We start from the raw sequence: 17,127 nt of genomic DNA, 5'->3' as shown, positions 1-17,127 counted from the left end.
TCTTCAGTGCCCCGTTTATGACTTTCTGGGTTGGCTGGTTTCTCATAGACAGTATTAAATATTCTGAAAAAGGAGGGACATCAGTGAATATAAAGCAGTTAGGAAAAAGTTCAAGAGAGTGGAGGAACAAACACAAAGAACGTCAGTCATCACACTAATAGTGTTATTCCCAGTGGCGTCCTAGACCTTCCAGCCATGTTCTGATACATATCGCAGCCTTCGTGCAGAGAGTCTTAGGCTAGAGGCTGAAGTGGCTTCTGTCAGTGCTTTCCCTGCAGCCCACAGTGACCCTCTACCATCCTAAAGGTAAAAACATAGTGTTAGGTCTGGCACGGTGTCCCACGCCTGTCATCCCCAGTATTCTGAGAGGCTGAGGCGGGAGGATCGCTTGAGTTCAGGAGTTCGAGACCAGCCTGGGCAACATAACAAGACCTCGTCTCTACTACAGATAGAAAAAAAAAAAACAACCCAGCCAGGTTGTGGTGGTGTGCACCTGTAGTCCCAGCTTCTCAGGAGGCTGAGGCGAAAGGATTGCTTAAGCCCAGGAGGTTGAGGCTGCAGCGAGCTATGATTGCACCACTGCACTCCAGCCTAGGTGATAGAATGCGACCCTGTCTTTATTTTATTTTGAGATGGAGTCTCACTCTGTCACCCAGGCTGGAGGGCAGTGGCGCAATCTCAGCTCACTGCAACCTCTGCCTCAGCCTCCTGAGTAGTTGGGACTATAGGCACATGCCACCATGCCCAGCTAATTTTTGTATTTTTAGTAGAGACAGGGTTTCACCATGTTAGCCAGGATAGTCTCTATCTCCTGACCTTGTGATCCACCTGACTTGGCCTCCCAAAGTGCTAGGATTACAGGCGTGAGCCACCGCACCCGGCCGAGAGCCTGTCTTTAAAATACAAAACAAAACAACAAAACGAAACCAGAACACTGTAGTGTTGTAACCATTTTCCTCATGAATCCTCATGATGGAAACAAAATTGACTCATTTTCACAAGCCCTTGACCTAGGAGAAATGATGTAGCGTATTTAATTCCTCTTTATTTATCATCCCTAATAGTGACTTTTGCCAAGAGCCTGCTGTGTGCAGGCTTAACTGCATCATCTCATGCAATTTTCCCTCACCTGGTTTGTAAGGGAATGGAAGCTCAGGGAGATGAACTGACTTGCCCCTGATCACACAAGCACAGAGCAGCCTGTTTCTGACCCAACTCTCCCGTGGCTGGCCTATAGGGCGGCGCCCTCAAGCGTCAGGCTGTGACAAACCCGGTCCTCATTGGACATCTTGATCTTTGGGGCTTTTTTTTTAAAGCATGTATTTTGCCTTCTTAAAATATTGCGTTTGTGGCCGGGTGCAATGGCTAACGCCTGTGATCCCAGCACTTTGGGAGGGCGAGGTGGGCAGATCACGAGGTCAGGAGATCGAGACCATCCTGGCTAACAGGCGAAATCTGTCTCTACAAAAAATACAAAAAAAAAATTAGCCGGGTGTGGTGGCGGGCGCCTGTAGTCCCAGCTACTCGGGAGGCTGAGGCAGGAGAATGGTGTGAACCCGGGAGGCGGAGCTTGCAGTGAGCCGAGATCACGCCACTGCACTCCAGCCTGGGTGACAGAGCGAGACTCCATCTTAAAAAAAAAAAAGAATTATATATATATATAATATATTATAAATTATATATAATATATATTATGTTATATATATAATATATTATATTATATATTATATATTATATATAATATAATATAATATATAATATATAATATATTATATATAATATAATATATAATATATTATATATAATATATAATATATTATATATAATATTATATATAATATATTATATATAATATATAATATATTATATATAATATAATATATAATATATTATATATAATATAATATATAATATATTATATATAATATAATATATAATATATGTAATATATATAATATATAATATAATATATAAATTATTATATAATATATAATATAATATGTAATATGTAATACGTAATATATAATATAATATGTAATATGTAATACGTAATATATAATATATAATATGTAATATGTAATACGTAATATATAATATATAATATGTAATATGTAATACGTAATATATAATATATAATATGTAATATGTAATACGTAATATATAATATATAATATGTAATATGTAATACGTAATATATAATATATAATATGTAATATGTAATACGTAATATATAATATATAATATGTAATATGTAATACGTAATATATAATATATAATATGTAATATGTAACATGTAATATGTAATATATATAATATATAATATGTAATATATAAAATATATATAATATGTAATATGTAATATATAAAATATATTATTATTATATATTATTATATAATATAAAAAATATATAATTATATAATATAAAAAATATATAATTATATAATATATATATAAAATATATATTGCATTTGTGTATTATTTATCTTGCTTACTGAGTTTTTAGTGCTCAGACCAGGGACCTCTGCTTTAAGGGTTAGCGAGGTCGGTCACTCACTTGAGGTCCCATGACCATAAGTGGGGCAGCAGGGTGTTAACCGAATCTCCTGGGAGCAGTCTCAGCAGCCAGGCTGGAGGCAGCAGTGTGGTTTGCCTTCCATCAGATCCTCACACTCTCAGACAGAGGAAGGAAACCTGACTAAACACCAGCTGCTAAGTTGCTGTCGGGTCCTCTGGGGCTTGGGGCCCAGTGACTCTTTCTCTCCCAGCTGTGTTCTCATGAATGTGCTTCTTCTCCTGCAGGTCGGGAAAGAGGTTAAAGAAGACACGCAAGTATGATATCATCACCACTCCAGCAGAGCGAGTGGAAATGGCGCCACTAAATGAAGAGGATGATGAAGATGAGGACTCCACAGTATTCGACATCAAATACAGGTACAGGGTGGAGACAGAGGCTTCCTCCTGGGCTTGGGGCAGTGGGTTGGTGGGACCTCGAGGTCAGGCATGGTGTCCATGTGTTCTTGTTTTTTAGTGAAGTGTTGGGTCCTGGGGTGTTCTGCACGTGGAGAGACCTGCTCTGATCTTGTGTTAGTCCATTTTCATGCTGCTAATAAAGACATACCTGGGACTAGGAAATGTATAAAGAGAGGTTTAATTGACTCACATTTCCACATGGCTGCAGAGGCCTCACAATCATGGTGGAAGGCAAGGAGGAGCAAAGTCACATCTTACGTGGATGATGGCAGGCAAGAGAGCTTATGAAGGGGAACTCCCCCTTAGAAAACCATCAGGTCTTGTGAGACTTATTCACTGTCAGGACGAGAGCAGCACGGGAAGGCCCAGCCCTGTGATTCAGTTACCTACCGAGTCCCTCCCACAACACGTGGGAATTGTGGGAGCTACAGTTCAATATGAGATTTGGGTGGAGACACAGCCAAACCATATCAGATCCCTTCCTAGAACACACTGCACCCAGAAACCCAGCAGAGAATTGCTTATTACTTTTCCCAAAGGAGAACACAAAGTCACCTTTATAGAAGGAAAAGGAGGATTGTGCTTCAGACAATGAGCTAGTTGTCCACTGGTTGTCAGGGGTCCGGCCCAAGCAGCCGTGTGTGCCACACACCAGGCACCCAAACAGAAACTTCTCTTTCAGCCTCGCTTATGTCAGTAGCTGAGGACGTGGGTGGCTGGGTGGGTGGCGTTCCTGCTTGGATGGAGTTTACCGATGAGCTCCACAGGCAGGTGTGTTTCTTAAAGGCTTTCTCTAGGAAAGTCAGAATGACTTTGTGACTTTAGGATTGTAGTGTGGGTTTTCAGATCATTTTGAGGTGTACTTTGAATATGTGAGCTTCTTAATGGAAGAGCTGAGGATGAGCATAGTTTTGAGACGAGGGCTCGAAGACCCAGAGAAAGGGCATTGCTTGGCCAAAGTCCCAATTAGTAGTAAAAGTGGAACAGAAATGCAGGCTGGTCCCTATCTTGGCTCCCCGGATCCCATGGCTTCTGCATGTCTGGGAAGGCAAGCCTTCCACACCTGTGTTCCTCAGCACAGCCTTGGCGGTCCTTGGTCCTTCTGCATAAATCAGTTGTCAGACTCAACAAGACAATGTTTGGGATTTTGATTGGAACTGCATTGCCTGTGGATCAATTTAGGGAGAATCAGCACTTTTACATTGACTTTGCCAATCCATGAATATGGAATGATTTTCCATTTATTAGGTATTTAAAAAAATGTTTTTCAGTACTTTAAAAAATTTATGTATAAATGTTTTATACATTTTTGTTAAGATATATTCTCATTGGTGTTTTACATTTTGATATGTATATTTTTTACTTTAAAGTACTATTTATACTCATGTCTGGAGAAAATGACTGTATTATCATGTTTACATACATATTGGTTTTGGAAGCTCAGTTTGTTAGTGAATCACACCTAAATCTTATAAAGAACCTGAAAGCATTAAAACGGATTGGTTATGGATAACAGAATGGGAGAAAAATCCCATTAGTTGTAATTTGCATTTTAGGTAAAGGGCAGCACCCTTTGAAAAGAATCAAATCAATTAGTAATATTTATTCATACCACAAAATAATGCACAGTTGGCCCTCTGTACCTGAGGGTTCCACATCTGCAGGCTCAAGCAACCACAAATTGAAAATGTCTGGGCTCGGGCATGGTGGCTCATGCGTGTAGTCTCAGCATTTTGAGAGGCCGAGGAGTGCAGATCTCTTGAGCTCCAGGGTTTGAGACCAGCCTGGACCACATGGTGAAACCCCACTTCTACAAAAAAAAAAAAAAAAAAAAAAGCAAAAATTAGCCAGGCATGGTGGTGCATGCCTGTAGTCCCAGCTACTTGGGAGGCTGAGGTGGGAGGATCACTGGAGCCTGGGAGATCAAGGCTGCAGTGAGCCATGAACATGCCACTGCACTCCAGCCTGGGCAACAGAGGAAGACCCCATCTCAAAAAAAAAAATTTTGGGAAAAAAACAATACAACAATGAAAATAATACAAATCCAAAAGACAATACAGTGTAACAACTATTTACATTGTATTAGGTATTAGGAATAATTTAGGGATGATTTAAAGTATACTAGAGAATGTGCATAGGATACACGCAAATACTACACCGTTTGATATAAAAGACTTGAGCATCTGTGGATTTTGGTCTTTGCAGGAGGTCTTGGAACCAATTCTCTGAGGATACCAAGGGATGTCCGTGTACCTAGGAAAGTTAGTGATTGTATTGATTTTATCGCTAAGCCATTTTATCTGTCTCACATTCAATACAAAGAAGTAAAATACAATGTGAAGAAAACCATGTCCTTATTACTATTCACAGTCAAAAGAGTCCGCTTCCTCCTGCACGGCTGGGAATATTGTACAATAGGGAGCGTTTAATGGTTCGAGTGGATCAATGTACTGTTTTGATTCTGAGCCAGTGAACAGCGTCTCATCAATCTTTGGTGACTGAACTAACTCCGTGGGAAGCATGATAGACAGAACTATTTTTGTGGTGTCTCCACATCCCACTGAATAAGAGAAGACCCTAAACAAGGAAATATGACAATCAATCTGCTCAGAAATTCTCTTTATAGGCTGTTTCCTAGAAGGTGGGAAAAGGGGCCTTTCCCTGAGGGCATAGACGTCCATATTATTGTGGCCTGGTTGCTGGATTGACATTGTGTCTGGTATGATGAAGATAAGGCACACGTTGAAACGAGTGTCACATTAAGAAACTTCCACAGCTTGTCTCAGTTCTTCAAATAATGGAGCGAGTTCCTTTTCTAGGCTGACAATGACTGCCATATTGGCATTGCTGCTGGCTGTGAAACAAACAAACTACTAAAGGTAAACCACCTGGTAGGTGTTAAAGTTAACAGATAAGTCCAAGCTTGTGTTTTGAAAGTCCAGGTTGGCTTGCTGGCTGGCGTGTTGCGAGGGCAAAAGTTAGTGAGACACCTGGTCTCCGGGCACGCTCTGGGTCATTTTCGTTGGCCACTTTAATGATGTGCATTCCATCTCTATCTGACACAGCGATAGTGCGGGGCCCTTCAACACTTGGTGGTTTTTTTTTTGTTTTTTTGTTTTTTTTGAGATGGAGTCTCGCTCTGCCGCCCGGGCCAGAGTGCAGTGGCACTATCTTGGCTCACTGCAACCTCTGCCTCTCGGGTTCAAGCGATTCTCCTGCCTCAGCCTCCTGAGTAGCTGGGACTACAGGCATGTGCCACCATGCCCAGCTCATTTTTTGTATTTTTAGTGGTGACGGGGTTTCACCATGTTGGCCAGGATGGTCTCGATCTCTTGACCTCGTGATCCACCCGCCTCGGCCTCCCAAAGTGCTGGGATTACAGGTGTGAGCCATGGCGCCCGGCCAGCACTTGGTGGTTTTTAATACAGGAATAGTGTTAGCTCCCTGAAGCACCTTAGTAGTGTCTCCTCTGCCCCTATTCTAGGCAGAAACTCAGGACCCTGCAAATCCCTCTGTATAAGTTTCCCGCTCCAGACCATCGGCCGTAAAGAACCCCTTTGTCCCACTGACCAGTCTCCATGCCTGGGTTTCTGCTTCTAGGGCTGCCAGCTTCTCTCTGCTGTCATTCTGGGGACAGTGTCAAAAACAGATTTCTCTGCAAGCCGCCATCTCATGATTCATGACTTTGATGTCTCTTAAAAAATATTATTTTTAAACTTTTTGTTTATTGCAGTTATTTTTAAAAGATACTGATTTTTTTAAAAAAAATCCAGCAACTGGCTGGGTGCGGTGGCACGCGCCTATAATCCAGCACTTTGGGAGGCCGAGGCGGGCGGATCACGAGGTCAGGAGATCGAGACCATCCTGGCTAACACGGTGAAACCCTGTCTCTACTGAAAATACAAAAAATTAGCCGGGCACGGTGGCTGGCGCCTGTAGTCCCAGCTACTTGGGAGGCTGAGGCAGGAGAATGGCGCGAACCCAGGAGGCAGAGATTGCAGTGAGCCAAGATCGCGCCAGTGCACTCCGGCCTGGTCTCAAAAAAAAAAAAAAAAAAAAATCCAGCAACCTTGCTAAACTTTTATTAATTCTTGTAGGATAAATGTGGAATCTTTGGGTTTTCTGTGTAGATACGTCATCTGGGACTAAGAAGAGTCCCTGTCCCTGCTCCCAAGTCCTTAAACGTTTTATCTCTTCTTTTGCTTTGCTTTTGCCTTTTCTGCTTCCCTTCCTTGAGAAGTTTGTGCTGTTTGTGGTTGAAATAAAATCAGAATGTGAGTGAACTTGGAAGTGAGTCATTAGACACAAGCCCACTGCAGTCCTCAGGCCTAAAGATGACTGACTGTTCGGAAAGACTAAGTAGTGCTGGCTTTTCTTATTACAGAGGTAATGTTAAGCTGTAGAAAATACAGATAATAAACAGGAAAGACACAGTTACTTGTCATCTCACTACTTAACAGTAACCACTAGAGTGTGTGAGTATATAGATGTGAAACTTTGTTTTTTATAGAAATAAGACTGTATTATACATGCTGTTTTGGCACGTTTTTCTACCCAAACAATGAATCATGAGCAACTTTTCAGGCCAATAGGTGTGAAAGAACAAAGAGTTTCAGACGTTGCATGTTTGGTTTAGTGTTTTTGTGAACTTCTTTGTCTGCACATGGCTAATCTGTTCACAGGTACTTGTTTTTCCCATTTAGACATAACTCAACCAAATGTTTCAGTTCTCTCTAGGAAACAGACTACATTTAAATCAGATGAATCATGGCTTTGGGTTATTTTGTGATTGGGTGGAAAGAGGAAAATCATGTTTTTGGCACCAGGGCAGTAAGGCAGAGTAACCTGCTTCTTATTTCCCAGGTAACTCTCTGGTAACATCTTGTGACTTAGAGCCTGTGCCTATCAGACAGGCTTTTTTTTCTCGAAGTTTTCAGCCAGGTAGGAAATGAAGGAGGAAGAATACAGGCAGGGTAGGAGATAAGACCTTGAGTGCGTAGGGCCAGAGTTTGGGGAGGGAGGGAGGGAGTTCTATAGAAATGAATCTCTAACTCTGTACTTAAAAAGACTAATTAGAAAGAAGAAATGATAGCTAACCAGAGTACAAGAGTGCCCTGGGGTTTTGAAATGGTTCTTTCAAGAGGCGTTTGGGTTTCGGCTGCATGTGTTTTGAGCTTTGTTGCCTAGTGTGCAGTTGTGTGGATGCTCTGGGCCTCTTTGCATTCCCGGTTTATTACAGAAGACTTTGTTACACCCTCTAGGCGTCCTCCAGGAAGAGACAGATGTGGGCTTTTCCTCCCGTGTGTGTGGCAGGCGGCCCGGCAGCTGTGACAGGCGCAGCCCAAAGGCACACTGCTGGGAGAACGCGCTGCTCCTGCCAGCCCTGCCTCCCCACCAAGAGGGAGGTCCCTGTCCCGGCTTCTTATGTGTGGAAAGGATGTGGCCCCGTGGGGGTGTGGACGTTCATTCTAGAAATCCCTGCTTCCCACCCTCTTGTGGGTAGGGCTTCCTTTGGGAGTATAATTAGAAACCCACGAGATTTCCACTGTAATGCTGCGGGCTTTGGCTGGTGTCTTGTCTTGGAAACAAAGGGCATTTTTGTGCAGTTTGCAGCATGAGGCCTCTGCAGGGTAGGCAGGGAGTATGGGAAAACAGACCTGGCTTGCTACCCGGGAGCTCTGAGTCCCCATGGACGCCCTCATGGCAGTTGCTAAGCACACTCAAGGCAGTGACTTCTTGGAGCTGCTTCTACTTACTGAGGACCTCTGAATGGCCAGGCACCCCAGGCTTCCTCGTGGTCTTCTGAGGGCGAACTGTTAGGAGCATCGGCAGATGGACAGCTGCCTGGGCGGTGGGTATAGAAACAATGGGCATCATTAGCTTCCAAGGCCTGGAAGGAACCAGAGAGGAGCCGGTGACCTGCAGGGTAACTGTATCTGAAACAGCATCAGAAGCCATCCCCAGACCAGTGTGAATAAACCTCTGCCAGTCCTCTTCCTTGCAGAATGCAGAGGATATGTGTTAAAAATGGGCATCTCATGGAGAATTTTTGTTTCTTTGGAAAGCAATATTGGCAGCCTGCGGGCAATTTTCATTTAGGGTGTCTCACTCAAAGCCAGGGCACCTTAAAAATTCTTGTGTCTATGTCTATGAGGATGGAGCCTACGTGAACAGGAATCTGATCAAATAAACAAAAAGGAAAGAGAAAGAAAGAAAAAGAAAAGAGGGAAGGAAGGAAGGAAAGATGAACAACACAAATCATCCTAAGTATCAATGCTTTTGCAAAAGCAAGCCATGTTTTTCAGATGTTCTTTTCTTGTGTGTCCCTGGATGGAAGCAGTAGAACTGCCAGGGGCTTCCCTGTCACGTGGTGGTGGTGTCCACACGTTTCTCTGTCTCAGACATACTCACAGACAGGCCAGGCCTCCTCCCTCCGGCTTCTCCGTCGTTCACTCATAAGGCCACTGCGTCCTCTTCCCAGAGTGTCCTTGCCGGCTGCACTGAGACGTCAGCTGCCAGGGTGCCAGACGCTACTGACAGGTGCTGCAACAGGTGTTCCTGTGTTGAGGGCTATTTTGCCTGCCGGACAAGCTTCTTGTAAAACATGGGCCAGAAGCAAGTTGGGACATGTCACTCTCCTCGTGTGGGATGGTTGTAACCCAGTGTCATCCTGCGGCACGGTGGGAAATCTGAATAAGCCTGGGCGGTGGCAGCTAAATATGCCTTCACTTCCTATAGAGATTTTGGTGGGGGTGGTGGTCAGCATTGACTCTTTCTGACTTATGTTAATGATGAAGCAGGAATGTCACTAGCAGTTTGGCGGTTCTGGGGGATGAGAAGGGGGCCGAGAGAGGCCTCTTGGAATCTCTGCTTGTCACCTAGCACATGTCTAGTTGGTAAGCCTGATAATTCTCTTCACCATGAGTACAGGCTGGGTAAGCCTGGCCCTGCCCTCGAGGGGCCTGTGTTGAGAGTGGGAGACAGCAGGAGCATGGCCACTTTTTTCTTTTTTTTTTTTGAGATGGAGTCTTGCTTTTGTTGCCCAGGCTGGAGTGCAGTGGCACAATCTTGGCTCATTGCACCCTCTGCCTCCCGGGATCAAGTGATTCTCCTGCCTCAGCCTCCTGAGTAGCTGGGATTACAGGCGCCTGCCACCACGCCCAGCTAATTTTTATGTTTTTAATAAAGATGAGGTTTCCCCATATTGGCCAGGCTGGTCTCGAACTCCTGACCTCAAGTGATCTGCCCATCTTGGCCTCCCGAAATGCTGGGCAGGTGTGAGGTACCGCACCTGGCCAAGCATGGCCACTTCTAAGACCACCTGGCAAGCCCTCTCACAGAGGAAGGAACAGGGTGCTGTGGGCAGCCAGGAAGGGGCAATAAGTTCTTCCCAGAGGTGGTGAAACCTACAAGTTCGAGAGGACCACGAAGTGAGCCCAAGGTGGCTCAACATGCAGGGAGCAGTGAGGGCATTCCAGGGAGAAGTAACAGCAGGTGCAGGCAAAGGGACGTTTAAGCCAGCATAGGGATCTTCAGTGAGTGGCAGCTTTGAGCCTCTGCCCCCCAAGCCCCTCCTCGGGGGAACCCCAAAGCTTCTGGCCAATAGATGGCCACAGGGAAACAGCTAGATGACATTGAGAGAGCCAGGACTTTACAGCCAGCCTCCTCTGGAGACAGCTTGTCCCCTCCACTGTCCCTGGAGTATTGTTCCTGAGTGCCAGTCACCCCAGAGAGCCTGAAGGCCCAGCCAACTACATGGCTGAAACTTGGGGTATGGCTCTACCACCTCCTGGAGAGACCCAGAGAGCTGGTGTCCAGGCCTGACCTGGGCAGGCGTTGGTGTGTGCGGGTGGACTTCTCCCCGTGGAGGCGCGTGAAGGATTCTGCGATGAGCAGTGTGGCTCCCTACCTTGTGTATGTGTGGGCGTTTCTTAAGCACACGGATGTAGACAGCAACCTGGGGGTGAGGTGAGGGCAGAGAGCCTGGTAGGGGATCCCCGTAAGATTCAGAGCAGTCCCGTGGGATGCCCAGACACTTACGGAGGTGAATTTCAGCATGGCAGCGGTACAGAGTTTGCATCTCCGTTGATTCTGCCGGCTGCTTTCCCCAGAGCCCGCAGGCCTGCCGTGGCCAGATCTGCTCTGGCGCAGCTATGGCGATCAGGTCCCTGCCCTCAGCTCCGATTCTTGGTCTTTAAAATCTTCACTGCTCCTCTCCAGTTCCTGTGCCCCCACCCTTCATCCTCGACATTGACCTTCCAGCAAGATGCAGTGGAAGGCCTGATGGTGGAATCAGACCTGGTAGGAACCTTAATGTTGGGGGTCCTTAGTCCCTTCCTCTTTGCAGTGGGGGGTGTGAGTGCTTGGGCTCCGAGATGTTGGTTTGTGAGGTTAGCTCCCCCGACTCCCCAACCCACAGAAGGGGCCAGGGGGTCACTTGAAGAAAGCCAGCCTCCTGCACAACTTGGACATGGCTTGCTGGAGATTTCTTTTTCTCTTTCTCTAGTCTGTTGAGTAGGGGACTTTAGTGGCTAATATGAAGATACTCAATTTTTTTTTTTTTTTTGAGACGATCTTGCTCTGTCACCCAGGCTGGAGTGCAGTGGCAAGATATTGGCTCAATGTAGCCTCAACTTCCCAGGCTCAAGTGATCATCTCACTCAGCCTCTTGGGTAGCTGGGACTACAGGCACAAGCCACCATGTCCAGCTAATTTTTGTAGTTTTTGTAGAGACAAGCTCTCAGTATGTTGCCCAGGCTGGTCTCTAACTACTGGGTTCAAGCGATTCTCCTGCCTTGACCTCCCAAAGTTCTGGGATTACGGGCGCGACCCACTGTGCCTGGCTTATGTTTTCTCTTTAAACAACTTTTTATTTGGAAAAAAAATTAAACTTCATGCAAAAATAAAAATAGCGTAGGGAACACCCTATACTTTTAACTCATATTTTCCTGTTAACATTTTTTGCCTGTTTGCTTTCTGATTCATCCGTGTGTATATGTATGTGTGTGCACACAAATGGTTTTTACTAAACCATTAGAGGGTAAGTTATGTATACCATGGCCCTTTCCTGCAAATGATTAAGTATCTATTTCCTAAAAATAGGATGTTTACATCTTCTAGTAAATAGCTACCTGTTATGGTAATATATTTGGTATTATGTAATATTATGACAGGAAGTTCATTATTTTGTAAATTCTATTAAATCTTTGTTATTTTTGCTCATGGGATTATATAATGCCCATAATCAAACATCAGGAGGTGATGGTGGCAGCTTTAACTGGTCAAATTTTCCCTCCTTTTCTAAGTCCCTTTAGATGATGTCTTGAGCAGAGTCAGTTTTTTTTTTTTTTTTTTTTTTTTGAGACAGAGTCTTGCTCTGTCATCCAGGCTGGAGTGCAGTGGCGCCATCTCAGCTCACTGCAACCTCTGCCTTCCAGGTTCAAGTGAGTCTCATGCCTTAGCCTCCCAAGTAGCTGGGATTACAGACGTGCAGCACCACACCTGGCTAATTTTTGTATTTTTAGTAGAGACAGGTTTTCACCTTGTTGGCCAGGCTGGTCTCGAACCCCTTACCTCAAGTGATCCACCCGCCGTGGCCTCCCACAGGTCTAGGATTACAGGCGTAAGCCACCAAGCCTGGCCACAGATTTAGTTTTTAAACTTATGCTTATTTTTTTGAGACGGAGTCTTGCTCTGTTGCCCAGGCTGGAGTGCAGTGGTGCGATCTCTGCTCACTGCGAGCTCTGCCTCCCGGGTTCACACCATTGTCCTGCCTCAGCCTCCTGAGTAGCCGGGACTACAGGCACCCACCACCACTCCCGGCTAATTTTTTGTATTTTTAGTAGAGATGGGGTTTCACCATGTTAGCCAGGATGGTCGCGATCTCCTGACCTTGTGATCCATCCGCCTCGGCCTCCCAAAGTGCTGGGATTACCGTGCCTGGCCTAAACTTATTTCTTGTACTTCTTATGTTTTCTGACACTGTGGTGTGGGCCCGGGGTTTAAAGGTAAGGAAGCTTAGATGTGGCTTTTGTCTCAAGCTCCCAGTCTAAGCAAGAGACCAACACTACTCAGATACATAAACCAGGAGTCAGCAAACTATGGCCCATGGGCCAAATCCAGCCCACTGTCTGTTTTTGTACAGCTCAGGAGCCAAGAATGATTTTCACATTTTAATGGTTGAAAAAGAACCAAAGGAAGAATACTATTTTATGACATGAGAAAGTAACATGCAATTCAAATTTCAGTGTCTATAAATAACATTGTACTGGAACACAGCCATGGCCAAGCATTTCTTGCTGTGGCTGCTGTTCCACCCCAACAGCAGGGTTGAGGAGTTATCACCGTGATTGTGGGATCTGCAGAGTTTACAATATTTCCTCTCTGGACTGTCACAGAAGAAGTTTTCCAACCCCTAGTGTAAACACCCTGGAAGTGCTGGCAAGGAGAGGGATATAAGGAGAAAGAGGTTGTGTTCTAGGGAGTCTGTGTGGGGAGCTGGGGGAGGGATCCTTAGTTGGGAACTGTGGGGAGGGAGGGGGTTTGCTGGAAGAGTGGATTGCGCCTTCCAGACAGCACGCTCAAAGGTCCTGTGGCTGGGGACTGTGGCCTTTTCACTGGCTGAGAGGGTGAGGGATAGAGATGTTCAGGAGGGGTCAGAATGGGTGCGAGGCTCTGCCAGAAGGGGCTTACTCTTGTCCTTCCCTTTCTTTTAGGTAAAACCTGTTTCCCAGCCTGGTGGCATCCTGTGGAAAGTTGGTCAGCTGCAACCTGGGGTGTGAAGGACTGGACCTGGAAGCCCTCTTGCGTCGGAGGTGTTGAAACCAAAACGAACGTTATGTATAAAACCCCAGCTCCATCGTGCGTGTCAGGCATCTGCTCAGACTGTCACTGGCAAGCTCGTTTCCACGTCACCACAATGGAGTTGCTTCTGCCACCCTTTGGGCATCCCTTTAAAGTGCCCCCTACTTCTACTCCCCATGTAAGAGGCTTTGTGCCTTGCTAAGGAGCAAAGGGTAGAAACATGTTGATTTTAAAGAAGTTTTTTTAAGACAATTGTTGACAATAGTAAAAGAGATCAGGAGGATCAAGAATCTAAAACAAGCCTGAAGGATGTCCAACTGTGTATTTAGAATTTCCGACATTCTTCTCTACTGGATCTACACATTGGACCCCATCTGATCCTTTGCTGCTTTTTTGGCTTGGTCAGGTCCTGGCCTCATTTTGGCGTTACCTGTGTCAGAGTTCAAGGTGGATGTGCTTAGAGCTGGTCAGCCCCTTCCAGACCTGGACACGTCTGTGGCTCCTTTTCTTTCTTCCTTTTTTTTTTTTTTTAAAAAAAAAAAAGGTTCAGCAGAAATCAGCGTGGCTAGTTCACAAAGAATTTCCAGTATCAGGGAAAAACTGTGCGTGTGTGTGTGTGTGTGTGTGCACGTGTGTGCGTGTGCACGTGTGTGATACCTATAAAACAGTTTCTCCTTCTCTGAAGGGAAAGGAAAGTGCTAGGCAGCCTGTGATTAGCAACATTCTTTGTGCTTTTTTGTTGTTCCTCTGCTCTGTCACAGTTCTACGTTGTTTGCCTTAGAAATGTAATTTTTAAAAACCATTTTAAAAATGAACGGTGATTTGGCTGGCTGGAAAAAATCACACTGTCAGGGGACTATATTTGAAGTCAGTCTAGACGGGGCTGGACTAGGAACCCACCTGGACCCAGGAGACCCCACAGGACCCAGGAGGTCCCTGCCGGAAGGCAGAGGTTCAGGTGAGAGTGGCTCACCTCTGAGCTGGTGAAGTGAGGACTTGCCTGTGACATGACCCAGGGATCTGCTGCTGGCTTCTGGAGACAGGGCCTTGGGCTGACTTCTCAGGTTGATTGAGGCCTCCTGACTAGCGGTGTTCCCAGGCTAGAGGTGATTGGCTGCAACAAAGATGCTTCTATTAGTCTATTAGCAGTGCCTTCGGGACCCTGGGATTTTGCTCTCTCTAGAAAGGTGTTTTTTATTTTTTTATTTTTTATCTCCCCCTTTTTTCCTGGCTTTGCTCCAGGGTTTGTGTATTTGCCTGTTTATTGTCCTGCTCTTTTTTTTTTTGGATGAAAACTCCAGCCTTTCCTGACTCACCTCCATCTTCGGTTCTTCAGTTTTCTGAGAAGAGTTGGGATATGTGGGAAGGGGCATGGGAGCTCGGCAGCCTCCGCCTGCCAGGAAGGCAGTTTCGCCTCTGCAGGAAAGAGCAGAGCCCGTGGGAAGCCCTGGGTGAGGGTGGCGCAGCCGGCCCAGCACGCATGGTATTGCCAGCCACGGGGGGCCTGCGTGTAGTCTCTGCTCCCTGCATTTCACCTTCTTTGTTGACTTTCCTTCTCTGTTTTCCCCCATCTGTTTGCCAGAGGGGTGGGACTGGCAACAGAACAGCCGTGGCTGCTTTATCTCTCCTCTCCACGGTGTACTCAGGCCTGAGTGGTGACTCACGGGAGCCTGGCCACCTCGCAGCTGTTCGCCCCCTCAACCTTTGAACTGGAACTGCTGGCTCACACAGGGTTTTCGACAACTGCAGCTGAATCTCATGGAAAAGCTGGATTCCTCTGCCTTACGCAGAAACACCCGGGCTCCATCTGCCAGGTGCTTGCCACTGGTCCTGGCAGAAATGGCGGCTGCTGAAAGTGACCTTCCAAATCCTTGGTGGCACTTCAGCGCCACAGGCTCTCCAATAAAAACCCTTTACACACAAACCATGAGTACCTTGGGCTTGGATGTTTTCTGTGGTGCCGGCCAGCGGGGCACCTTTTGTGAAGACAGAGGTGGGTGGGCCCAAGGCTGAGGAGGAGGGCGGGGATGGGAGCTGGGCTGGAGGTGTTTGGATCCTGGTGATTAGAGAAAAGCTTGGAAATGAAAAAGGCTTGGTGGTGGAGGGGCATGCATGCTGTTTTTACGTCTACATATACAATTGGAGGCTCACTCGCTCATTTCCTGGAAGCTTGCTCCTTGGCTAGGAAATACTGAGGCCTAACTGTTTCCAGAGAATCTTGGGGCATCTCCAGAGAAGATAGAATCAATCACATAAAAAACTGCTGGCTTGTAACTGCCTCATACCTGGCTTGCTTTACTCTATGAGTAAGCATGGGATGCATCTGGGCCGGGTTCACAGCGAGCTGAGAAAAAGCCGGGGGAAAAGCCCATTTGCTGCCGTCCAGCTGGTTCCCTTGGAGGTCACCAAGGAGCTGGGGGTGTGGTCTGTGTCCCTCCTCCCTGAGGAGCTACTCCTGTGCTCCGTCTTCTCTACCACTGTAGCAGTGACTAAGGTTCTCCAGGGTAGCTCTTTCTCCAAACAGCTGCGCTGGAAGCCAGCCCTAGAGAGTGGGTTTCCCCATCATCTCAGGCTTCTCAGAGAGTGTCCTCCGCTGAGCACCCATCCTGTCAGGTTGGCTCGTTCAGATGCCCGGGGACAAGCCAGCCTGACGGGGAGGAGGGTGTTTCGGCGTCCGCGGCAGTCTCTGCATGGCGGAGGGTCAGCGGGTACCGCAACTTGCCTTTTGGTTTTGAAGATTCTGTTGAGGCGCCATCCTCACCTTGACCTCTTCTACAAAATCTGTCTCCCCTGCTGTGCCGTGGAACACCTACGGGAAGCCAGTAAGTTAAAGTCCTAAGATCAAAGCCCCTCCCTCTACTGCCTGCATCTCCTGTCATAAAAGCCTGAATTGTATGGTTATTCTTACACCCTGTGGGGATGGGGGATGCTTTATACGGACATGGCACATTATCCTCAAAGGGCCCTGGATGCACCCATAAGTTTGTGTCCCGTGCTTGCCCCCTTTGGTGAAATTCTTGGCTGTCGGTGTCATTTTAAGGAAATCAGGGGAAATTACCCAGAAGATCAGGGTCTGTAGGAGAAGAGGGGTAGGGGATGCATCAGTGACCCAAACTTGCTGGTGAGATTTGGCAGCTGAAGCCATTTAAAGAGATTGGCGGTTGGGCGTGGTGACTCATGCCTGTAATCCAGCACTTTGGGAGGTGAGTAGATCACCTGAGGTCAGGAGTTCGAGACCAGCCTGGCCAACATGGCGAAACCCCCATCTCTACTAAAAATATAAAAATTAGCCTGGTGTGGTGGCAGGTGCCTGTAATCCCAGCTACTCAGGGGACTGAGGCAGAAGAATCACC

General features: G+C 46.3%; 1 protein-coding gene and 1 long non-coding RNA gene across 2 annotated transcripts in view, besides 1 other annotated feature; one reads left to right on the top strand and one right to left on the bottom strand.

Annotated features, from left to right (window-relative positions):
* The window catches only part of FAM174B (family with sequence similarity 174 member B), a 38,328-nt gene extending 22,630 nt beyond the window's left edge, over positions 1-15,698 (top strand). Inside the window, exons 2-3 of the mRNA NM_207446.3 lie at positions 2,801-2,932; positions 13,687-15,698. Of these exons, the coding sequence (NP_997329.2) occupies positions 2,801-2,932; positions 13,687-13,690 (136 nt within the window). The 3' untranslated portion in view covers positions 13,691-15,698. The remainder of the gene's footprint in view (positions 1-2,800; positions 2,933-13,686) is intronic.
* LOC124903559 (uncharacterized) lies at positions 5,087-9,641 on the bottom strand. The gene is made up of 3 exons (XR_007064768.1): positions 9,383-9,641; positions 8,728-8,861; positions 5,087-5,224 (listed from the first exon to the last, which is right to left on the bottom strand). It is a non-coding gene; the product is annotated as an uncharacterized LOC124903559 (long non-coding RNA).
* Positions 10,801-10,940: an enhancer, noted in NCBI's record as "active region_10112". NCBI's record gives its function as "activates an Ori minimal core promoter by ATAC-STARR-seq in GM12878 lymphoblastoid cells {active_cell/tissue: GM12878}" and the evidence as "EXISTENCE:reporter gene assay evidence [ECO:0000049][PMID:35858748]".
* Positions 15,699-17,127: the final 1,429 nt, after the last annotated feature.

The sequence above is a fragment of the Homo sapiens genome, chromosome 15 (assembly GCF_000001405.40).
Source record: "Homo sapiens chromosome 15, GRCh38.p14 Primary Assembly".
Taxonomy (NCBI): domain Eukaryota; kingdom Metazoa; phylum Chordata; class Mammalia; order Primates; family Hominidae; genus Homo; species Homo sapiens.
The sequence above is the reverse complement of the archived record's forward strand: the minus strand, read 5'-3'. Positions and strand labels throughout refer to the sequence as shown.